The 25687-nt window shown below is 42.7% G+C and overlaps 2 annotated features.

The window, feature by feature from the left end:
* Positions 20099 to 20598: an enhancer, noted in NCBI's record as "H3K27ac hESC enhancer chr10:93641371-93641870 (GRCh37/hg19 assembly coordinates)". NCBI's record gives its function as "activates a minimal SCP1, AML or CMV promoter by ChIP-STARR-seq in naive H9 embryonic stem cells {active_cell/tissue: H9 hESC(naive)}" and the evidence as "EXISTENCE:reporter gene assay evidence [ECO:0000049][PMID:30033119]".
* Positions 20599 to 21100: an enhancer, noted in NCBI's record as "H3K27ac hESC enhancer chr10:93640869-93641370 (GRCh37/hg19 assembly coordinates)". NCBI's record gives its function as "activates a minimal SCP1, AML or CMV promoter by ChIP-STARR-seq in naive H9 embryonic stem cells {active_cell/tissue: H9 hESC(naive)}" and the evidence as "EXISTENCE:reporter gene assay evidence [ECO:0000049][PMID:30033119]".

Raw genomic sequence — 25687 nt, 5'->3', positions numbered from 1 at the left:
AGAAGGCATCACTCTGCCTTTTTGCTTCAGTTCTAATACTGTAAATAAGTCTCTTTATCATGGTTTATTTAGAGCCACATTTTTTGCACTTTTGTGCTCTTTGTTAGTAATTTCTCAGTTTAAAATGGCCCCCAAACACAGTGCTAAAGTGTTATCTTGTGTTCCTAAGCACAGGAAACTGTGATGTGCTTTAAAGAGAAAATACATGTGTTGCTAAACTTCCTTCAGGCATGAGTCACAGGCATGAGTCACAGTGTTCAACGTTAACGAGTCAACAGTATATATTAAGTAAGGTGTCCTTAAACAGAAAAACCCATAAAACAAATTGTGATTGAATGGTTGATGAAAAATGTTGTGACCAAAGGCTCATAGGAACCTAATCTTCTATATTCCCCAGGAGCAGTGGTTCTGTATTTGCTAAGTCAGTGTTCACACTGACTTTACAGAACATCACTACTGCAAATAGTGAGATTCAACTGTATTTCTTATTTAAGCCCCTGTATTCTGAGATTATCATTTACCTTAACTAATATAAGATTCTAGTGCAGTTCCTGTTAGTCAAAAATACTGTATTTATTGATTCTAAGGTATACTTTGTATCATCAGTGTCCCCATACTGCACACTCAGAAGGGGGTAACTGGAGTTTAATGAAGAAACTATTTACAAGAGTATAGAATAAGGGACTGTACTGGGGTGAATAGGCCTCCAAAGATCCACATCCTTCTCAGAACCCCAAAATGTGACCTTATATTGAAATAGGGTCTTTGTAATTAATTAAGATCAGGTCATACTAAAGCAGGGTAAGCCCCAAATCCATTTTTGACTGGAGTCCTTATAAGAAGAGAAAAGACACAGAGGGGGAAGGCCACGTGAAGAAGGAGGCAGATACTGCAATTATGTATCTACAAGCTGATTAATGCCACAAATTGCCAGCAACCACCAGGACCAGAATAGTCTTAGGAAGGAGTCTTCCCTAGTCTTCATGCAGAGAGAGCATGGCCTTGCTGGCAGCTTGATTCCAGGCTTCTAACCTCCAGAACTGTGAGAGGATAAATTTCCCTTGGTTTAAGCCATGTGGATTGTGGTACTTTGTTAAGGCAGCCCTAGGAAACTAATTCAGGGGCTAATAAGTCACAGTGGGACACCTCGGACTGTAATAGGGAGATGATATTATCAGCCCTGGACCCAAAGCGGGAAGGGCAGGAGTGGCTTCCAGAACCCAGAGAAAGAGAGAGAGATCAAACTCAGAACTGTGGGGGAAAGGGTCTCTCAACAGGAACTATAGTCTTAGGTACCTAAAATGTAACCATTGTCAAAACCTTGGTCTATAGGGAGGGACCCAAGAGAATAAATACCTTAAGCTCTCTCTCCAGCTACCCTCCGACCTTCTGTTTCCCCTTTCCATGGACTGAACCTGATTAGAAGCCAGAGACAAGGGCATCTGGGTGCTACAGTGCTTAGTGGTCAACCTTCTGGGCCCAGAGCAGGGTAGATGGAGAAGGGTGGAGAGTGCATCTGTAGGAACAAAGACTATTCGGCACATGTTTTCTCCCTCACATTTACATCTGAGGTCATCTTATAATCAATGGCATGTCATCGTTTAATTGGTAGTATCTTTGTTTTTTGTTTTGATACAGAGTCTCACTTGCTCACCCAGGCTGGAGTGCAATGGCGCAATCTCGACTCACTGCAACCTCGGCCTCCCGGGTTCAAGCGATTCTTGTGCCTTAGCCTCCCAAGTAGCTGGGACTTCAGGCATACGCCACCATGCTCGGTTAATTTTTGTATTTTTAGGAGAGATGGGATTTTGCCATGTTGGCCAGGCTGGTCTTAAACTCCTGACCTCAAGTGATCTGCCTGCCTTGGCCTCCCAAAGTGCTGGGATTACAGGTGTGAGCCACCACACTCGGCCAATATCTTTTTACTTCTTAGTGCTACATTAAAAATGGCATGTATTATAACTGATAGAGTCTCAGGCTCAATAAAATACATTAATAAAAGTAATGTTGGTTATTCAGGATTGACAGAAATATAGACATATGAGACCCTGTTCTTTGTGTCCTGTCCAGGGAAGGGAACAGGAGTAATAAGTGAAGAATATTAACAGTGCAACTCAGATGACAAATGAATACTTTACAACTGAGTATGTACAGGTTTGGCTGATCTGTTGAGGACTGGACCAGAGGGTGTGCCCATGGCCCATAGCATGAATATGACACTGGACCAGTATCACTGCTGCTCATTTCTGGTCAGACTATAGCATTATGTCCCATTCTAGGGCAAAGAGAAATATAGAAACTCTGAAGAGTATTCATAGGAAAGCCACAAAGATGTAATGTCTTTGAGGAAAGGTATATCGCAGTGGGCCCTCTAGGAATCAGCTGGCAGGAGGTACAGGGGGAAATGAATGTAGGGGGGAAAGGGAAGAGGGAGAGAACCTGAGTCAGGTGCAGGGCAAGTAGGAGGAAGGAGGATAGGGTAGGAAGAAACTTAGCTCTGTGCAGCTCAGAAAATCTCAGCTGTGCTAGTGGGGACACCCAGAACAGAGACTGCTCATTGGAGGAGGCTCACATTGGACAGGCCTCATTGGACAGGAATGACCTGGTTCTAGATCTCCCATGAGCACAGTCATTGGCTGGGAGTGTCCCAAAGAGACTATGCTCTTGGTGAGAATACTGTGGTGGATTCTGAAGTTGCTGCTGCCGGACATGGTCAGCTAGCTACACTCCTCACAGAGGCACTCGCTCAAAGGGAGATTTGAGCAGTGTACTCCCCAGCGCACTCCCCATAGCTACCACAAATTATTAAAAACAGACTAAAGCTTTGGTTTGGCTGGGGCATTATTTGGGTGTTTTTTCCTCCCATTATCATAAAAATGATTATAGGCAAATTCTACTAAGAGTATGCGTGATGGAGACCAACATGCCTGAGTTCAAATCTTGGTATTACCACTACCCAGCTCTGTGACCTTGGACAATTCATTTCATCTTTTTGAGCCTCAGTTTTCTTATCTGTAACGTAGAGTTGTTGAGAGGATTAAAAGAGATGCTCATGTAAAGCTCAATGTCTGGCATGTTGTAAGCATGTAATAAATACATCGTTAGGGCTCCAATTTCCTTTAGTATACCAATAAAGACATCTAAAGGTAATTTTCAGTCTTAAAGAGCACATATGCAAAATGGTGATCAGCAACTCTCCATCTCAGCTGGGGGCAGCATAAAAAGAAAGAAGCAGCTGGGTGCGGTGGCTCAAGCCTGTAATCCCAGCACTTTGGGAGACCGAGGCGGGCAGATCATGAGGTCAGGAGATCAAGACCATCCTGGCTAACACGGTGAAACCCCATCTCTACTAAAAATATAAAAAATTAGCCTGGCGTGGTGGCGGACACCTGTACTCCCAGCTACGTGGGAGGATGAGGTGGGAGAATGACATGAACTCGGGAGGTGGAGCTTGCAGTGAGCCAAGATCACGCCACTGCACTCCAGCCTGGGTGAAAAAAAAAAAAAAAAAAAGAAGCAAGAAATCTGTAGTTACAGAAGAGAGAATTGTCTGATGATGAGAGCTATACACAGTACTCCTATCCCTAATGTGGAAGCATGTGGGCTTGTAAGACCTCCTTCCATGTGTAGGACTTGAAAGGAGATGAGACTGCATCTGTCCAGGAGTTCATATGTGGTCTCGCAGGCGAGGGGACCACAGCTGACCTCCCAGGTCCATGGCTTTCTTATAACTTCAAAGAACAATTTTCTTTCGTTCCTGGCTAAAGAAGCTGTAATGCTTACAGCTGCAGGGCTTTGGTGAACTTACCCCGAGTTTTGTCCCTCTTGTGACCTCTGGTTCACCACATTCAAACTTTTCCCCATTACAAAATTTAAAAGCAGCCATGAAAGCAGGCCACAGTCCTCCTCTCCCTTTTAAAGCAAGATGCCTACTTTGGCCATATTAAAATTACTGAGCGGTTGTCATATACAGACAAGTAGTTTAAAATATAATGAAATATATCATTAATAATAGCCACACAAGGTAAAATATACTGAATCACTCAACAAGAAATATGCATGAGGTATATGAAGAACACAGAAATACTTCTGAGAGCAGAAAAAAAGATTCAAATAAATGAAAACATGGATTTATTATGATTATTAGATAAGAAACCTTAGTGTTTAAATAAGTGTCAATTCCCTCTGGATGAATGTATACAATTAAATATGGTTACAATAAAACAATAGCAATAGGATTTTGAGAGTGTGAGAACTAGGCAACCTGACTCTAACGTTCCAATGGAAAACCTAGGTAAATTGGGGGGCTGGAGGGATGCAAAGTTGTATGTTTCAGAGACAGAGAGGAAAAAAAGAATGCTTTCATTAAGGCGTACAACATAAAATGGCTAAGTACAGACTCTCCCAAAGAAACATTGACAATACAGTGAAAAACAACGTAAATGGCCTTGGGGGGCTCTTTCTAGGTAGCCACGGGGACTCTCTGTAAAAGACCGGAAGCTTGGAAACAACACTTCAGTTGATAGTTGCTGCCTTTGAGCTGGGTGGTCATGTGATCGTGGTAGGGCTGAAGACCCCAAACCTTTGATCCGTATGTTCTTTGTTCCCGTGCACAATGATTACAATGAGAAAGATTATCCTCCGAATCAAGACAGGGATAAGGCCCTTGTGCCTTGATTTTAAGATGTGCAGAGAGAGATGAAAGAAACACTGCCAGTGTGGAATCCCCACAAGGGTGAGATGTCAAAGTTGATGCTTAACGATGGGTAGGTATTCCTTGGCTATTTTACAGGATAAAAATAGTTATCAGCATTTAGAGGCAGCTATTTACTCTCCTTTCTCCTCCTCCTCCTCCTCCTTCTTCTTTTTTTTTCTTTTCTTTTTTTTTTTTTGAAATGGAATCTTGCTCTGTCGCCCAGGCTGGAGTGCAGTGGCACAATCTCTGCTCACTGCAAGCTTCTGTATTAGTCTGTTTTCATGCTGCTGATAAAGACATACCAGAGACTGGGAAGAAAAAGAGGTTTAATTGGACTTACAGTTCCATATGGCTGCCGAGGCCTCAGAATCATGGCGGGAGGCAAAAGGCACTTCTTACATGGCAGCAGCAAGAGAAAATGAGGAAGATCCAAAAGCGGAAACCCCTGATAAACCCATCAGATCTCGTGAGACTTATTCGCTACCACAAGAACAATAGGGGAAACTGCCTCCATGATTCAAATTATCTCTCACCAGGTCCCTCCCACAACAAGTGGGAATTAGAGGAGTACAGTTCAAGATGAGATTTGGATGAGAACACAGAGCCAAATCGTATCAGCTTCCCACTGCAGGACTGGCATCAATATCTGGCTCCTTCACCGGTGATGATAGTGGGCACAACTCTCTTCATTGGTCAGAATCTCCTTTGCCTTCTGCGGTTTCTGAACAGTCTCCATTGCTTTGGAATTTTCAGATGCTTGTTGGGGTGGCATTCCACAGCTCTGAACTTAAATTCTGCCAGGATTTGTTCAACAGTTCTGGTGGCTGGGAAGTCCAAGATCAAGGCACTGGCAGATTCAGTGTCTCGTGAGGGCCTGCATCCTTATAGATGGCTCTCTTCTCATTGTAACTTCACAAGGCGGAAGGGGTGCTTTAGCAGCATTTAAAAGGCACTAATGTTGTGTGCATGAAAGTGGCTGTAAGGTCAGTTTTGATACATATTTCATCAAGATGTGACATCCCCAGCCAGATCCAGAAAATATTGCATGCAACCTTTGAATTATTCCAAAGAATTGCATGGCTATTGACACAGCTGAGGCCATGTCTCCTGAAATAAATTCAAACTATGCACTGTGCTGTCCAATAGGGCAGCCACTAGACACATGAGGTATTGAGCATTGGAAATGTGGATAGTATGAAACGAGATGTGCTGCAAACATAAAATACACACTAGGTTTCAAAAGAGGAATGTAAACTATCTCATTAAATAAAAAATATTAAAATATATGTATATATATGTATGCTCTTATATATATGTGTGTGTATATATGTGTATATATATATCTCTCTTAAGATGGAGTCTCACTCTGTTGCCCAGGCTGTCGTGCAATGGTGCAATCTCAGCTCACTGCAACCTCTGCCTCCCAGCTTCAAGCGATTCTCCTGCCTCTAGCCTCCCGAGTAACTGGGATTATAGGCACGATCCACCACGCCCAGCTAACTTTTGTATTTTTAGTAGAGATGAGGTTTCACCGTGATGGTCAGGCTAGTCTCAAACTCCTGACCTCAAGTGATCTGTCCACCTCGGCCTCCCAAAGTGCTGGGATTACAGGCGTGAGCCACTACGTGCCGCCAAAAATTTAAAAATATTGATTGCATGTTGAAGTGGTAATATTTTAGATATATTAGATTTAATAAAATAAATTGTTAATCTCACCTGTTTATGTGTTTTTAGTGTAACTACTTGAAAATTTAAGGTTGGGTGCGGTGACCCATGCCTGTAATCCTAGCACTTTAGGAGGCAAGATGGGTGGATTGCTTGAGCCCAGGAGTTTGAGACCAGCCTGGCCAACATGATAAAATCCTATCTCTACAAAAAATACAAAAATTAGCTGGGCATGGCCGTTCATGCCTGTAGCCTCAGCTACTTGAGAGGCCAAGGTGGGAGGATCACCTAATCCAGGTAGGTTGAGGTTGCAGTGAGCCATGATCAAGCCACTGTACTCCAATGAGATCCTGTTTCAAAAAAAAAAAGAAAAGAAAATTTAAAATTACATGTGTGGCTTGCATTATATTTCTGTTGGACAGTGCTAGTGTAGAGCACAAAGAATGCTTCTGGATTTTTGGCCAAAAGTCTGGATGTACATTTTTCTCTTTACCAAAGGTGTTAGCACCATTATAAGCCTGCCCTCAGCAATGTTCTAAATCAGTGCCTACAACTAAAAGGTTTGCTTCTTTTTTCAATTCTTTAGGCAACAGGTTTTGAGTTAAAACCTGTACTTTTTACCATAGGCATGAAACTAATGAAACACCAATTTTGATTTTCTTGTTTTCTTCTGCCAGTTCAACATACAAAGAATAAGTGTTAGTTGTTCAACATGCCTTTTGTTCTTGTTACAAACTAGTTGAACTATCACTTTCTAAAATTATATGTATGATTTTCAACCTAAATGCCCATCAATGACAGATTAAACAAAGAAAATGTGGTACATATACACCATGGAATACTATACAGCCATAAAAAGAATGAGATCATGTCTTTTTCAGGGACATGGATGGAGCTGGAGGCCATTATTCTAGTGAACTAACGCAGGAACTGTAGCGTCCAGCTCTATGGGGCTCAGCAGGTGTTCTCCCCGTGTGCAGAGACGAGAGATTGTAATAAATAAAGACATAAGACAAAGAGATAAAGAGAAAACAGCTGGGCCCCGGGGACCACTACCACCAAGATGTGGAGACCGGTAGTGGCCCCGAACGGCTGGGCGCGCTGATATTTATTGTATATAAGACAAAGGGGGCAGCGTAAGGAGGACTAATCTTATAAGTGATTGAGAAGGTGAAGCAAGTCACATGATCATAGGACAGGGGTGCTTTCCCTTTTATGTAGCTGAAGGAGAGAGAGAAGGCAGCATACGTCAGCATTTTCTTCTATGCACTTATAAGAAAGATCAAAGACTTTAAGACTTTCACTATTTCTTCGACCGCCATCTACTACGAACTTCAAAGAGGAACCGGGAGTACAGGAGGAACATGAAAGTGGACCAGGAGCGTGCGCATTGAAGCACAGCACCACAGGGAGGGGTTTAGGCCTCCGGATGACTGCGGGCAGGCCTGGATAATATTCAGCCTTCCACAAGAAGCGGGTGGAGCAGAATGTTCCCTGACTCCTCCAAGGAAACGAGACTCCCTTTCGCGGTCGCCTAAGTAATGGGTGTCTTCCCAGACACTGGCATTACCACTTGACCAAGGAGCCTTCAAGCGGCCCTTATGCGGGTGTGACAGAGGGCTAACCTCTTGCCTTCTAGGTCACTTCTCACGATGTCCCTTCAGCACCTGACCCTACACCCGCCGGTTATTCCTAGGTTATATTAGTAATACAACAAAGAGTAATATTAAGAACTAATGATTAATAATGCTTATAATAATGATTGATAATTATCCATGATCATCTCTATATCTAATTTGTATTATGACTATTTTTATTCTAACTATTTTCTTTATTATACTGAAACAGTTTGTGCCTTCAGTCTTTTGCCTCGGCACCTAGGTAATCTTTCGCCCACAAGGAACAGAAAAGCAAAACTACATGTTCTCACTTATAAATGGGAGCTGAGCGATGAGAACACATGAACACAAATAGGGGAACAACAGAAACTGAGGCCTTTTTGAGGGTGGAGAGTGGGAGGAGGAAGGGGAGCAGAACTATTGGGTACTAGGCTTAGCACCTGGGTGACTAAATAATCCACACAACAAGCCCTTATGACACAAGTTTACCTATATAACGAACCTGCACATGTACCGGCAAACCTAAAATAAAAGTTAAACAAAAATAAATAAAATTATATGTTTTTTTCTCCTACTTTATTGTCCATTAAATTAATAGTTTCATTTTGACTTCTTCATCCACATGGTAATCTTTTATTATTTCTTAACTATCTTCCATGTTTGGCTGTTCTAGTTTTAGCTTTTGAAACCATTTTTACTAAATCTAGAAATTTCCCATTATTTCTGTAAATATTGTGCTGTTAATACCATGAAAAGTGCCATTGTGTTTGGCTAAGTATTGAACATTTATTATTATTTTAGGAATATTATATCAATGTTTTTTATATTGGCTTTTAGTTGTTATTGTGGAATACTGTCAATTGCTGTTTATTCAGCTTTTTTTTTTTTTTTTTTTTGCAGTTCCAGTGATTCATGTGATCCTTTTATGCACAAGTGATAGTCATTTTCCTTTAATAGAGAACCTAAATGTGTCCTTTCACAAGTCTCTTCACTGGCCAAAGCTAATCATGAAGATAGTTGTGAAACATGAGAGTAGCTGCAGAACTTTGGCTTTGTGCTTAGCATATAAAAATGTCTAGTTTCTCCATCTGAAGGAATTTTGATGGAAAATGAAATATTAAACTTTCTGCCAAGCTGGGTGCGATGGTTCACACCTGTAATCCCAGCACTTTGGGAGGCCGAGGCAGGTGGATCACTTGAGGTCTGGAGTTCAAGACCAGCTTGGCCAACACGGTGAAACCTCGTCTCTACTAAAAATATAAAAATTGGCCGGGTGCAGTGGCTCACACCTGTAATCCCAGCATTTTGGGAGGCTGAGGCCGGCAGATCACGAGGTCAGGAGATCGAGACCATCCTGGCTAACATGGTGAAATCCCGTCTCTACTAAAAATACAAAAACAAAATTAGCCGGGCGTGGTGGTGGGTGCCTGTAATCCCAGCTACTCGGGAGGCTGAGGCAGGAGAACGGCGTGAACCCGGGAGGCGGAGCTTGCAGTGAGCCGAGATCATGCCACTGCACTCCAGCCTGGGCGAGAGAGGGAGACTCTGTCTCAAAAAAAAATATATATATATACGTAGATATATGTATATATTATATATACATGTATATATGTATATATTATATGTACATGTATATATGTATATATTATACGTACATATATGTATATATATTACATACATATATACGTATATATGTATATATGTGTATATATATGTATATATGTGTGTGTATATATATATGTGTGTGTGTGTATGTATATATATATATATATATATACACACATATATATATATAAATTAGCCAGGCATGGGGGCACGCACCTGTAATCCCAGCTACTTGGGAGGCTGAGGCAGGAGAATCACTTGAATCCTGGAGGCAGAGGTTGCAGTCAGCCAAGATGGCACCACTGCACTCCAGCCTGGGCCACAGAATGAGACTCCATCTCAAAAAATAAAAAAATAATAAAAGTCGTAATGCAAGAATCTACTGCATTCCTAGTATCAGAGAGGAAGGACATGACAAGTTTACCCTTTCTCATTCCCAAGGATTTCTGCCGACCAAGTTCATCATGCTCTGGAGTAATTCAGTTGCCAACATCGGGAGCAGTCACCTGCAGTCCCTTTTGTTTTGAGAACATTGGACAAGAAATATGGAGAAGAATTTCCCTGGGGACTAAACAGTATGGCCAGGTCGTGTTGTACTGGCAGACCCAAGCCCTCCCAAATGATGGACGAACTTTTGTGCTCTTTAATATTTTTTTTGTAAATGTGTTTGTGATATGCAGGACCCTCTCCAGAGCAGGCTTAGGCAGTGGCCCTTCTCATCTGGCCATAAGGGTAGTACTGCTCCTCTTAAAAGCTTGTGCTACTGTCATGAGCATGAAGGATGCACACACACTGACTCATTACCCTTGTGCAAGGTCACCTCTGACCTTTACTGCAGCCTTTTCCCAGGCACCAACCCCTTAGATAGGGCCAGGAAGCCTGGAACTGGCACTGACTTAAAACAGAGAGGAGCTGTATTCTACCCACATGCCTAAGAATGAAATCTCCAAAGGCCACTGCTTTGTTTTCCAACTTGTATGAAATCTAAATAGTGCTCCAAAATGAAATCCTTGTGCCTCCAGAATTGTAACACATATACTTGTTTTAAAGTCTTTATCATAAAAGCAAAACAAAACAAAACAGAACAAAACAAACAAAACAGAACAAAACAAACAAGGAAGAAACAGCCAGGCATGGTGACTCACACCTGTAATCCCTGCACTTTGGGAGGCCAAGGAGTGGAGGATCACTTGAGGCCAGGAGTTCAAGACCAGCTTGGGCAACATAGGAAGATCCTGTCTCTAAAGAAATAAAAAAAATTTTAAAAATTAGCCAAGTGTAGTGACATGTGCCTGTAGTCATAGCTACTTGGCAGGATCACTTGAGCCTAAGAGTTAAAGGCTGAAGTGAACTATGATCATGCCACTGAACATCAGCCTAGGTGACAGAGCCAGATGCTGTCTTGAAAAAACAAAAAAACAAAACAACTCAACAATAATAATTCTTATCATTTTTTTTAATTTACAAAGCATTTTTTGTACATCCTCTTCTTATCTACCTCATCTGATGGCATTTTGTGAATGAGAAAAGAGGTTCGGAGACATTCAGTGACTTCTCCAAGGACACAAAACAGAGCTGAAACTTGAACCAAGGTCTTTCCAATACAGCATAGCTGTCTCATCATCAGGCCATAGACCTTGAACATCCTCCACCAAATACTTCAGTCCTTTAGTCTCTGTTAATCCGTTGTTTCTGCTCAGCCAGAATGCCTTTCTACCAGTCCCAAATTCATAGCCTTCCACATGCATCAGAGCTTCTGCCTTAATGAGGAGGAGCCACTTTCCATGCTTTTGTTAGACAGAGGGGCCTAATCCCTTCCATCTTTGCCTGCAGACTCCATCACGGTAACTCTGGCTAACATAAAGATGTGCCTGATGAATCATCACCTTCTTTGTAAGATGATGGTGCCAGCCTCTATGGGCAGACCCAAAGTCAGTTCATGATGATGCTTAGACCTGTCTACCACAAAATGAGAAAAACAAGGACAATATAGTGAATTTTGGTAGCACTGAATTGATCAGATTAAGGATTATTCTTTATTCTGTGATTATGTCCTTTTTTTTTTTTTTTGCAGGGGTGGAGGCAGGTGGGTTTAAAATATCCTTTTTTTTTTTTAATAAAATGATGATGCTAGTATTATAGATGGTAGTTTGAAAAGTTTAATGTCTTCACTTGGCAAAGTATCAAAGTGGCAACCTTATGTCTTTCCCCAAAATGTCTTAGAAGGTTTTATTAGTCTTGGAATTCTAGACATCTGAGAACTACTGGCTTGGGGGATGATTTAATATTTTCTGACTCCCTAGAGTGTCACCAGTGGTGTTCTATGCCTCAGTGAGGTAGTAGCTGATATGGGTTTCCTAAATGACATTTAGTGAAAATATTGGCCTCGTGCTTAATATAGGCACATGAGTGTCACCACTTTCTACCAAACGACTTATGAAAATAGTGGCACAGTAAAGTAATCTGATGTATGGAAATACCTCCCAATTTTACAGGCTCTTCACGTATTAAATAAAGGGAGGGCTCTGGAGAAGCTAAAAGTCTCAAAGGTAGTATGTCGTACTGAGCAGGGATCCCCAACCTCCGGGTTGAGCTTGGCCTGTTAGGAACTGGGCCGCACAGCAGGAGGTGAGTGGCCAGCGAGTGGGCATTACCGCCTGAGCTCCACCTCCTGTCAGAGCAGCGGAGGCTTAGATTCTCATAGGAATGAGAACTATTGTGAACTGTGCATGCGAGGGATCTAGGCTGAGTGCTCCTTATGAGAAATTAACTAGTGCTTGATGATCTGAGATGGGACAGTTAGTTTCATTGTCTTCCACAAAACCGGTCCCTGGTGCCAATAAGGTTGGGGACCACTGAGAATGTAGACTATGGAGTCAGATAACCAACGTTCAAGACCCAGTGATGTCTTGCCATGTCACACTTAGGAGACAAATTACTTATCCTAAGTCTCAATTTTCTCATCTTTAAAATGGAAGTAATACTAATGATGCTAACTTTATAAGACTGTTCTGAGGATGACATATGTATAAAGCACTTAATATAGTGTTTGCTGTATAGCTAGCACTTGATAGACATTTGTTATAGATAGGCGTGGAGAAAAAGGCAATGGGGTTAGAGGGAAAGAATTCCGAGGTCCACATATGGGATAAGAAGAGCAACAGGGCTTGTGAAGATTTAAATTTTTTTTATTTTTATTTTTGAGAGGGAGTCCCGCTCTGTTGCCCAGGCTGGAGTGCTGTGGTGCAATCTCAGCTCACCACAACATTCGCCTCCTGGGTTCAAGTGTCCCCTGCCTCAGCCTCCCAAGTAGATGGGATTACAGGCACCCACCACCACGCCCGGCTAATTTTTGTATTTTTAGTAGAGATGGAGTTTCACCATGTTGCCAGGCTGGTTTCAAACTCCTGACCTCAAGTGATCCACCCACCTCGGCCTCCCAAAGTGCTGAGATTACAGCGTGAGCTACCACACCCAACCTAAAAATGTTTTTAATTGTCATCTAACAAGAGAAAAGAGAATGGTTAGGCTGGGTGCGGTGGCTCATGCCTGTAATCCCAGCACTTTGGGAGGCCGAGGCTGGCGGATCATGAGGTCAGGAGATCGAGACCATCCTGGCTAACACGGTGAAACCCCATCTCTACTAAAAATACAAAAATTAGCCGGGCTTGGTGGCGGGTGCACCTGTAGGCCCAGCTACTCGGGAGGCTGAGGCAGGAGAATTGCTTGAACCTGGGAGGCGGAGGTTGCAGTGAGCTGAGATTGCGCCACTGCACTCCAGCCTGGGCGACAGAGCGAGACTCCATCTCAAAAAAAAAAAAAAAAAAAAAAAGAAGAAGAAAAGAGAGTGTTTTAATTTGGGTTTGGGCAGGGCTGTTGTAAAGCAGCAGAAAATCATCAAGATCTAAACGGGAGGTAAGAAAAAATGAAAAGACTAAATGTCTTTATTTATGGGACATTTGACTCTGGAAGAGAAATCCTGGGAAAGGGGGTTTTATTGCATCAGACCCCCGACCAGGGAAGCAAATGTGGTCTGCTTAGGAAACCTCCCTTTTTTTGTGTGTACCAGAAGCTCAGCAACAAATAATTTCCCTCAAAAGCCTGGTTTTTAAATGTGCTAACTAGACACAGTTCTAGAATAACTACAGCCCCCAAATTTAAATTCCAGAAATATGCTATACAGGCTGAAAATAATTAAAATTTAAAACAAAATTATCATAAAAAGCAAATAACATAACGAAATGCAATGCATGAATCTTTAACATATTCTGGATTTAAAAAAAATTTTAGTTAAAAGGCATTTTGGGAAAAATAAGAAAATTTAAATGAGGACTATATTTTAGGAGATATTAAATTAGCGTTGATTTTCTTAGGTGTGATAAATGGTGTTGTTGGTACATAAGAAAATGTACTTATTCCTAGTTGCTGCATGTGAATTATTTTGGGGCAAATTGTCATGAGGTCTGCAATTTCCTTTCAAATAATGCAGGAGAGAGGAATCTCTCTATACAGACAAAGGATAGAGCGAGTAGGGCAAAATGCTAAGAAGTGAATTTAGGTGAAGAATCTACAGGTGTTAATTGTATTACTGCACTACACGTTCAACTTTTTTGTAGATTTGCATATTTTCTACATTAAAAGTTTGGAGAAAAGCTAACTGGATCGCGCCTCCACTTACAAATATAAAAAAGTCTTAGCGAAGGGAAGAAAAGTGAAAGAGACAGGGTTCTGCTTCGGTTTCCCCACGTGCAAAGGTGTGGAGGAGGCTGCAGTTTTAAGCGCTTGCCTGGGCGCTGGCTACCTTCTTCTGGCCTCGGTGCGGTGACTTCCAGCAAGGGAAGCCACCTACGTTGCACTGGCTTCGTGGGCTCCACGATTATCTTAAAATGTTTTCTAAATTATTTGAATTGCGATGAGACTATGTGGTTCTGGGGAAGGTAAACATGGCGATTAAATAGTGAGATTTTTAAAAATAACACCAAAAGAGTCACGCGTGCACGTGGAGGAATGTGAACGTGGCGAGTGGCAGCACCGCCCGCGGGGAGATAGATGCTCCGGGCACCGGTGGAGCTGTGAGGGCCCCGGGCTCCGGGCGCTGCGCGATGCTGCGATGCTCCGGGCGAAGCTCCCGGCGCGCACAGGGTTAACGCCGGGCGAGGGGACCGCGCGTCCTCTGCCCGCCCACATTCCTCCGCTGAATGGAGGCGGTGGTCTGATGCCGGTGGGGTGATTTCGCCCCTCGGCGTCCGACCTTCCCACTGGCCAGGCCCGCGCCCCTCCCGGGCCGGCCCTGAGCTCCGCAGTCACGTTACCTTCCCCGCTATTCACGCGGCCCTGGGGTGTTACAAAGAGAGACATTAAGAAGTCTGTGGGCATCGCAGGGGCCCGGAACGTGGGGACAATTACCGTGGCTCTGAAGGCCCCTGTCTCCCAGCCTTGTAATCTGACCCCTGCGATGATGTTACAGGGGCCCCTCTGTTTGCAGATTTGTTTCTTTGTCTTAATTTTGGCAATAAAGTGAGCTACAACTTCAGAAATGTGTGTGTGCCCTTTCATTAAATCCGCATTAACCAAACAAAAAGGAGACACTTTCATTGATTTGCCTTTGTCTAATTTATGAAGCATATTTTACAAAATATAAACCTTTTTAATAATAGGGAGAAAATCAGGTTTTAGGTCTATGGAGACCTAAATGAAAATACATGTTTTCACAAATAATGCTCCAGAACGAAGTCTAATCATTTAACCTTCTCTTGAGATTAACCACATTGTGGGATTTTTTATTTGACAGCTTCAGCTGGCACTGTTTTTAAAAAATCTTATAAAATATATAAAAAATAAAAAAGAGGCCAGGTGCGGTGGCTCACCTGTCATCCCAGCACTTTGGGAGGCCGAGGCGGGCGGATCACTGAGGCGGGCGGATTAGGTGGGCGAGACCAGCCTGACCAGTGTGATGAAACCCCATCTCTACTAAAAATACAAAAATTAGCTGGGTGTGGTGGCATGCCCCTGTAACCCCGGCTACTCAGGAGGCTGACGCAGGAGAATCGCTTGAACCTGGGAGGCAGAGATTGCACTGAGTAGAGATGGTGCCATTGCACTCTAGCCTGGTAACCAGAGCGAAACTCCATCTCAAAATAAATAAATAAATAAATAAATAAATAAATAAAATAAATATAGTAAAGCATAAAAGAGGCCAGGGGCAGTGGCTGACGCCTGTAATCCCAGCACTTTGGGAGGCCAGGTGGATAGATGGTTTGAGGTCAGGAGGTCTAGACCAGCCTGGCCAATATGGGAAAACCCTGTCTCTACTAAAAATACAAAAATTAGCTCAGTGTGGTGGCGCTCACCTGTAATTCTAGCTACTGAGGAGGATGAGGAATGAGAATCGTTTGTGCCTAGGAGGTGGAGGTTGCAGTAAGCTGAGATTGCCCCACTGCACTCCAGCCTGGGCAACAGAGCAAGACTCTGTTTCAAAAGAATAAATACATTAAATTAAAAGAGTGTAAATGCTTCACTTTTATTACATGACTCAATGACCATAAAAATTAGAGACAGTGTGATTAAGTGGGCGTCAGTCCATTTTATGTTGCTATAACAGAAAACCCAAGACTGGGTAATTTATAAAGAACAGAGATTTATTTCCTACAGTTCTGGAGGCTGAAAAGACCAAGATCTGGCAACTGCGTCTGGTTGGCTTCCAGTGCGGGTCCCATGCGGCAACATCACATGGCATAAGGCATCATAGGGCAAGGGGGGTGGGGGTGCACTGAGACCCAAACTGGCTTTCATAACAGACTTACTCTCATGATAACTAACCCACTCCTGTGATAACCCACTAAGCTATTCATCCATCAATGGATTAATCCATTCATGAGGGCAGAGCGCTTCTGACCCTAATCCACCTCTTAATATGGTTATATTGGGGATTAAGTTTTAACATGAATTTCAGAGGGGACAAACATTCAAACCATAGCAGCATGCAAAACAAAATGACATTTATTATTACTAGAGAAAGTAAATTAGCATGCACAGAAAGAGTGAAAGGAAATGTCCAAGGAGAATGTGAATTTACTCCTTCAATTAGTACTTCAAGGGCTCATGATGAGCCAGGCTCTGGAGAATGAGCGGGCCATTGGTCCTGCCTTCAGGGATGTCCCATTCAACCAGAGGAAGAGTGTTGAATCAAGTGGTCCATATCACCAAGGCCAAGTACCAGGTGCTGCAGGAGCCCCTCAAGGAGCGATACTCCACGGGTTCGGGGTCACAGCTGTGTGAAGACGGGGGAAGAAGGAGAATTCCGGCAGGTTTCCTGAAGGAAGAAATGCTAAACTGAAACCTGAAGAAAGAGCGGAAGTTAGGCCAGTGGGTCTCCAACACTGCTGGACGTTGGAATCACCTGGGGAGCTTTAAAAAACTCCCCACAATCAAATCATAATGTCTAGCGTGAGAGTCTGGGATCAGAATTTTCCAAAAAACATTCCAGGTGATTCCAATGAACAGCAAAGTTTGGGGAATTACTAAGGCAAAGGGAGGGAAGCTAAGGTTTTTAGGTTTTCTCAAGGAAAACACTTGGCCAGCAGGCATGGTGCAGGTGCTAGGATATAATTGTTCTTTGATTCGTCCTTCTGCTTCTCACTGCCCTGCCTCTAGTAAGCACTCAGGAATGTTTACTGATACTGGAACAAAAGCTAATAAAAATTTAGATGTATCCAAAAACCAGTCCTTCCTCAAGAATGTCTTTTAGCACTCACTGTTGATGAGTTAGGGTCTAAAATGTATAATGGCAGGCTCTCACAGAAGGACATAAAATCCAGCATTTTGGCAGCTAGGGGAAAAAAATCCCTCTTCTCTCAATTCCTGTTCTCCATCTTCAGTCATTGCTATAATTGTAACTTCACAGGCAACCATCCAAGCAATTTTGTTTCTATCTTCAAATGGCTTCCCCCTCTTTATTAAAAAAAAGCGCAAGGCCTGCCAAAATTCAGAGTATTTTAATTATGAAAGGTCAAGAACAGCCTAAACAAGAGGCCACAAAAGAAAGAATATTCCTGCTGGTGAAGGGAGACAAGGTATGGGGGCTGGAAGCAAGGGCCCTCCCTCTACCCGGGGGCCACATTTTATGCCTGCTGCTCTCAGAGAGCAGGATTTGCCCATCACTGTCTCCTGGCTAAGCACACTTTGACATTCTGCTCTGTAATGTACCTTGGCATGAAATGGCCTCTGGCAATTTATCTCCTGCTTTAAATGGTAATTTCAAGCCTACAGGGTCTTTAAATGGGAAACGGGAAAGAAAACCTCTTTTAATCCAGGCTGAGGCAGCCTGCATTTTCATTAGCTCACAGACCACAGGGTAGGAACTCCTTTTCTAGGAGAAGACGGGTCTCTGACATTCTAAGAGATCTATTGAAGCTCAGACTAAGAACATGATGTCACACCACTCAAGCAGCGCCCCAGGGAGCAACATCCCCACGTTGGCTCTATCTTATTATATTCACCTCTAGGGACCTTTACATCTCTCCGTAGGAAAGCAGGAAGGGAAATGCAAAATGGATTCTGTCTTATTGGTCCTCCCCTGAAGCACTAGGTCCAACTGTGACCCCATGGGATTAGCAGGGGGAGTTTTGTGACTTAGATTCAAGCCACAAAAGCTCTCTCAAATGCCGGAGACTCCACGGGGACCAGGCAGGGAACGGGGTGTGGCCGGAGAGGACTTTTTTCATTAGTCCTGGATCACACACAGGCGGTAAGGTGTCTGTGCCTCTGAAGCCAACCCGTAATGCATGATCAGCACAAAGCCCTGAGCAGTGGAAGCTGACCTAACATGACGCAAAGCCTGTTGACAAGGAAGCAGAGCGTGTTTCGTGGAATGTAAGTGTGGGTTTTGAAGCAGGCTGTCCAAGTCTCGCTAGGAGCTGTCGCCGAGCCCTGAAAATCAGTCAGGCTTTTCCAAATATCTTTCCTCTTGGGCACAGTGAGGTCACGCCTCCTCACATTTATATGCCGTTTCTAGTCTGCCAAATGTTTTCACAGACATTACCTCATCTGAGCCTCTTAGCCCCTCTTCCAGTCGCCAGGGCATATGTGATTATTCTCCCTCTTTTAGCAGCATGGGAAACTGAGGCTCAGAGGGAGTAAATGACATGGGGGGAAAGAGCTGCCCTCTTGAGCCCAGAGCTGACTCTAAAGTGCTTTCTATCCACTGGAATTCTTCAAGTCTGGGCTGAATGTTACTTGTATCTGAACCACCAAGGAAGTTCAGGAAAAATATAGATTTCTGGGCCCCACTCTGACCTTCTGAAACTGACCCTCTGGGCAACACTCAGGAACCTTTTTTTTTTTAGAGATAGGGTCTCACTCTGCCACTTGGGCAGGAATGCAGTGGCAGGATCATAGCTCACTGCAGTCTTGAACTCCTGGCCTAAAGCAACACTCCGGCCTTAGCCTCCCGAGTAGCTGGGACTAAAGGAGCAGGCCACTGCCCCCGGCTTATTAAAAAAATATATATATATATATATTTTGTGGTACAGATGGAGTTTCACTAGTTGCCCTGGCTGCAGAAGACTATTTTTAACCTGAAGATTCCCCAGCCGATTCTGGTAAGAATCACTTTTGGTAACTAAAATATATAAGTCAACTTTATATATAAGCCAAAAGCCAGCCTCATGCTTAAGGGAAGAACACTAGAAACATTTCTTTAAAGTCAAGAACCAGATAAGACTGCCCACCATCACTATTTAACATTGTTCTGCAAATAGTAGCTGATGTTATTAGTCAAGAGAAAAAAAAAGTTTAAAAAATTTAAAGGATAAAGTAAAATTATTTTTACTTCCAATTCAGATATTATCTGAACCCAAGAAAATCAACTGAAAAACCATCTCAAACAATAAAAAAATTCAGTAAGATGGGTGCACATAAAATTAATAAATAAAAATTAATAGCTTTCCTATTTATACATAAAAAGCAGTTATAAGATGTAATGGAAGAAAATATTCCATTTATATAATAACAAAAAATATATACCTAAGAATAAATGTAACAATGAGAAGAATTGTTACTTAGAGACACTATTATTATTATTATTATTATTTTGAGACAGGATCTCACTCTGTTGCCCAGGCTGGAGTACAGTGGTGAGATCTCGGCTCATTGCAACCTCCACCTCCTGGGCTCAAGCAATCCTCTCACCTCAGCCTCCTCAGTAGCTGGGACTATAGGTGCATGCCACTACACTTGGTTAATTTTTGTTTAAAAATTTTTTGTAGAGACCAGGTCTCACTGTGTTCCCCAGTCTGCTTATATACTATTCTTGTACAGAAAGATTCAATAATATAACTTAATTTCTTCCTAAATTAATATACAAAATTTTCATGACCTAATAACATGTCAACCTATTTGAGGGATGAAGTGTGAAATTTTACAAACTGATTCTAAAGCCACTATGGAAAAATACATGTGTAAGGATTCTTTTTTTTGTTTGTTTTTTTTTTGAGACAGAGTCTCACTTTGTTGCCTAGGCTGGAGTGCAGTGGCACAATCTCAGCTCACTGCAACCTCTGCCTCCCAGGTTCAAGTGATTCTTCTGCCTCAGCCTCCGGAGTAGCTGGGACTACAGGCGCTCTACCCATCAATGTGATGGTATTTGGAGATGGGGCCTTTAGGAGGTAATTAGATTTAGATAAAGTCATAAGGGTGGGGCCCTCATGATGGGATTAGTGACCTTGAAAACAAGACAACAAGTTTAAGATCAGGGTGCCAGCATGACCGAGGTCTGGTGAGGACTTTTTCCTGGCTTGCAGACAACTGCTTCTCACTGTGCCCCTTGACATAGACGAGGAATTAATTTTTCTTTCTTTCAATCATGAGGGGTGGACCCCCCTCACAACATGTTAGGGCATAGTGAGAAGGCAGCTGTCTGCAAGCGGGAAAGAGGATCCAGAGTGATCCTGTTGAAGCTTAAGTCAAACCATGCCACTGCTTTTGCTCACAACCCTGCAGTGGCTCCCCATTTCACTTAGAGTAAAAAGCTAAAGTGCTAAAAATGCCTAGCTTGATCCTGGGTGACCCACCTTTGCATCTGTGACACGATTTCCCACTCTATCCCACTCCAGCCTTCTCCAAGCACACAGGCAGGATCCCCTGAGGGCTTCTGCAGTTGCTGTTCTGTGCGTAGAATGCTTTTCCCCCAACACTCCCCACGGCCTACTCCTCCACTTCCTTTACAGTTGTTCAGATGCCACCTTCTCAGTGAGGCCTTCCAAACCACCTCATGTTAAATTCCGCTGCACCAGCCCCTTCTCTCACAGCTCACTCCCAATCCTCCCCACCCTGCTCTATTTTCCCCTATATCACTAATCACATTCTAAATTCAATATAATTTACTTACTTGTTTTTATTGTCAGTCTTCCCCCAACTAAAAGGTAAACTTCACAAGGATGGATTCCACTGATGTAGCCCCAGTGTCTAGAATAATGCCTGGCAAATAGAAGGTGTTCAATAAAACACCCGCCAGGTGAGTGAATGGGCTTATATGGTCTTTACTCAGTTCTTTTAAAGTCTGTTCATCATTATATGGAGACAGCAATAGCTAACAGTGCACTACCAGCAATAATGATAACCACAACATAGTTATTTATCAAATGCACTATCAGCAACAACAATAATATCAATAATCATAGTTATTTTTGAAATTTACCACCACTAATAATAGTATCAATAACAGTTATTTTTCAAACTACACTATCAAAAATCGTAATTGGCATGTATCACATCCCTGTACTATGAGCCAGATAATCCCACATAGAAAATATTATTAAATCCATTTTCCAGATGAGGACACTAGAGCTCAAGGGTTAAAGAAACTTGCCCAAGGCCCAAGGCCAGTAAGTGGAGGATCTTTTCTGATTCCTTTTTCCACTGTGTTTGGAAACTCCTAAATGTGCTGGGCTCCTGGCATGCAGTAAGTCCGCCCTGAGGAAATAGGAGTCTTTGCTCACACTCTGTGGGAATGTCATTGGTTGCCTGTACAGAACTGCAGAATGGGTGGGTCTTTCTTCAGTTTTTCTGGTACTTCCAGTCTTGGACCATGTGGAATCACCACTCCCTCCCCACCCCTGCCAGCCTGCAGATTCGGTCAGAGGAGATTTCTGTCCCTAGAGGCAGAAAACTGCTGCAACTTGCCCTCCAAGAGGTGTGGACCAAAGAGGAAGCTGATGAAAATCTAACTGCCTGCCTCAATGTCTCTTGAAATGGATGCTCCAAAGGATGTTTTTACTTAGAATCCCTAATCAGCCGATTTTTAAACAGATTGATTTGAGGAACAGATGGACTCTGGATGAAGCTGTAATCCGGAGGTTGCCACTGATTTCTGTTGACAGTTTTAAACCCCACCTATTTGTCAACAGTGGGAACTCTTCTGGGGGAATGCTCTGTTCCTGAAAGAGAAGAATGTTTCCATTCTGACCACCGAATAAAGAGAGAATGGATCTAGGCAGGAGTGATTTGACTGAAGTTAAATAGGTTTTAATATAAAAAGGCTAGCAGATTCCAATGGAAGTGAATACAGTTGGTCTGTATTTACACACAGGGATTAAGCAAACTAATCCGATGGGAGTCTGTGCCGGCGATTGTTTGGGAGCAAGATAGATCCATCTGCGTGTAAAGAATTGTGAATGAATGAGGATCTATGGCTCAGTGGGCAGGGGGGGCATGGGGGAGACCACCAGTCTGACTAATCAGACATTCACATTTCCCACTGTTTTGTTCTATTGTATCCAAATGTGAGAAGCTGCTCTCCAGTCCCCCACATACAAAGCTCTTTATTGGACTTTACTGTGGCATGATCCCGGCTGCTTTACTCCAACTGCCAGCCTCAGAAGGAGTTTTGCTTGATGGTGTCTGGCAGCTTGGCTTTGCTTCAGTAGATTTATGAGCTGTGAAAGATGGTCAAATTAACACCCTAAGCGTTCCTGATAGGATTAGAGGCCTGCATTAGCATACCACCCTGAAGTACCACACTATCTCTGTGTCTTCCCAGCCCTTCTGGGTGGGGTTTGGAGAGGGTAAGTGGGAGGTGATGCCACACACCCCTCTCCCAGCTGGCAACACAAAGGGTCACCATGTGATTCCAGATGATGTTATTTGGCATTTAATATCTAATGGCAGTGTCTCCCAATCAAAAGAACTGAACTGAAGTGGTGAATGCATCCCTTTTCAGGGCTGGATGCCCATCCTTGCTCTCATGGAGAGAAAGAGCCGTCTCGTCTTTGGGGTGAGATTGACAATCCAACCACCCTAACCAGGACTGGAGTGGACCTTAAAATATCCATTTAAGTCATAATGATTACTGATTGTTCTGATTATAATGGTAACACATATTTATTGTAGAAAATTTGGAAAATGATGAAAAATACAGCAAAGTAAAAATCACCCATCATCCCATTACTTAGAGATAGCTTGCCATTAACATTTTGGTGTATTAATTTATTGATAATCTGTTTTCTATGCATGTAGACAGGTGATTTGTTATTTTTGCTTTAACAAAGTGGGATCATATTGTTTATCCTAAATCTTTTAATATTATATCCAATACATTTTAATAAATTTCTTCTGCTGGGCGCGGTAATCCCAGCACTTTGGGAGGCCAAGGCAGGTGGATCATCTGAAGTCGGGAGTTTGAGACCAGCCTGGCCAACATGGTGAAACCTTGTCTCTACTAAAAATACAAAAATTAGCTGGGCATGGTGACGCATGTCTGTAATACCAGCTACTTGGGAGGCTGAGGCAAGAGAATCACTTGAACCTGGGAGGCAGAAGTTGCAGTGAGCTGAGATCCAGCCACTGCACTCCAGCCTGGGTGACAGAGCGAGACTCAAAAAAAAACAAAAAACTTATTTGGAAAAGGTTATACAATTAATATATATTATATTACTGTATATTATATATTTACTATATATTATATAATGTATATTATATATATATATTTCTTTTTTTCTTCTTGAGACAATGTCTCCCTCTGTCACTCAGGCTGGAGTGCAGTGGCATTATCATGGTTTACTGCAACCTCTGCCCCCCAGGCTCAAGAAATTCTCTCACCTCAGCCTTCTGAGTGCTGGGACCTGAGGCACACACCACCATGCCTGGCTAATTTTTATATTTTTTGGTAGAGATGGGGTCTTGCCATGTTGCCCAGGCTGGTCTCTAACTCTTTGACTCAAGTGATCCACCCTCCTTGGCCTCCCAAAATCTATTTGGAATTTATTTTAGAATATGAGTGAAGTAAGGATTTGACTTAAATCACACCTGGAATTACAGATGTGAGCCACTGCGCCTGGCCTATATTTCTTTTTATAATAGAGATAAGGTCTTGCCATGTTACCCAGGCTGGTCTTGAACTCCTCCTGGGCTCAAGCCACCCTCCCACCTCAGCCTCCCAAAGTTCTGGGATTACAGATGTGAGCCACCATGCCTAGCGTTTTTTTTTTTTTTTTTAAAGGGTCAGGGTCTGGCTCTGTCTCGCAGGCTGGAGTATGGTAGTGCGATCATAGCTCACTATAGCCTCAAACTCCTGGCCTTAAAGTGTCCTCCTGCTTCAGCCTCCTGAGTAGCTGGGACTATAGACAGAGCATCATCAGCATGCCTGACTAATTTTTTGTTTGTTGCTAGAGACAGGGTCTGGTTATGTTGCCCAGGCTTGTCTAGAACTCCTGGCCTCAAGCTTTCCTTCTGCCTTGGCCTCCCAAAGTCCTGGGATTACAGGTGTGAGCTACCATGCCTGGCCTAGGGAAGGTTATTTTTAATGGGTGCATAGTGTTCCATCATATAGAATAAAATATCTCAATTTAGGTTGCATTAGCCAAAGTAATGGGTTTCACTTTAGGGGACAACAGGCATAAAAAGTGTGTACCACGTAAACAAGATGCAGTGTTAAGACTCCTTCCCTGAATTTGCATTACAGGTGATGCTCTGTCTGCAGTCCCAGCTACTCAGGAGGCTGAAGCAGGAGGATCCTTTATATATTATTAAGTTATAATAATAATTAAAATATGTGTTATTATTACAAGAAGAAACAGTGACAATTATTGGAACAATAAAAAATGGTATTTCAAATCAATGGGAGAAGAATAAATAATATAATAAGTGGTTCTAATACAAAAGATTTAGGGAAAAATTAAAATTAAGTCAAATCTTTACTTCACTCATATTCTAAAATAAATTCCAAATAGATCTAGGAGTCAAATATTTAAAGAAAAATAGAGCTAGGGTATGATGAAGATGAATATTTATATGATCTCAAGATGAGGACATATAGAAGAACATGAAAATTAAGAGATATGATTAAATAAAAAATTTTAATTTGATATGTAAAAAATACATAAATACGGCCAAGTGCAGTGGCTCACGCTTGTAGTCCCAGTACTTTGGGAGGCTGAGTCAGTGGATCACAAGGTCAGGAGTTCGAGACCAGCCTGGCCAATATAGTGAAACCCTGTCTCTACTAAAAATATAAAAAATTAGCCAGGCGGGGTGGCGTGCACCTGTAGTCCCAGCTACTAGGGAGGCTGAGGCAGAAGAATCGCTTGAACCCGGGAGGCGGAGGTTGCAGTGAGCCAAGATCGCGCCACTGCACTCCAGCCTGGGCAACAGAGAGAGACTCCATCTAAAAAACAAACAAACAAACAAAAAAACCATAAATACAAAATAGACCAAAATTATGACAATAAAGATATTCGACCTTAGAATTAATGAAATTAATGAAGGTTAAAACAACTTAGTATCAATTTTATCTGTCAAATTAACAATTTTTTTTTTGAGGCGGAGTTTCTCTCTTGTCGCCAAGGCTGGAGTGCAATGGCATGATGTTGGCTCACTGCAACCTCTGCCTCACAAGTTCAAGCGATTCTCCTGCCTCAGCCTTCCGAGTAGCTGGGATTACAGGTGCCCGCCACCACGCCCGGCTAATATTTGTATTTTTAGTAGAGACGGGGTTTTACCACGTTGTCCAGGCTGGTCTCGAACTCCCGACCTCAGGTGATCCACTGGCCTCGGCCTCCCAAAGTGCTGGGATTACAGGCATGAGCCGCCACTCCTGGCCAACAATTTT

The sequence above is a fragment of the Homo sapiens genome, chromosome 10 (assembly GCF_000001405.40).
Source record: "Homo sapiens chromosome 10, GRCh38.p14 Primary Assembly".
In the NCBI taxonomy this organism is placed as follows: Eukaryota; Metazoa; Chordata; class Mammalia; order Primates; family Hominidae; genus Homo; species Homo sapiens.
This window is presented reverse-complemented; position numbering and strand designations above follow the sequence as displayed.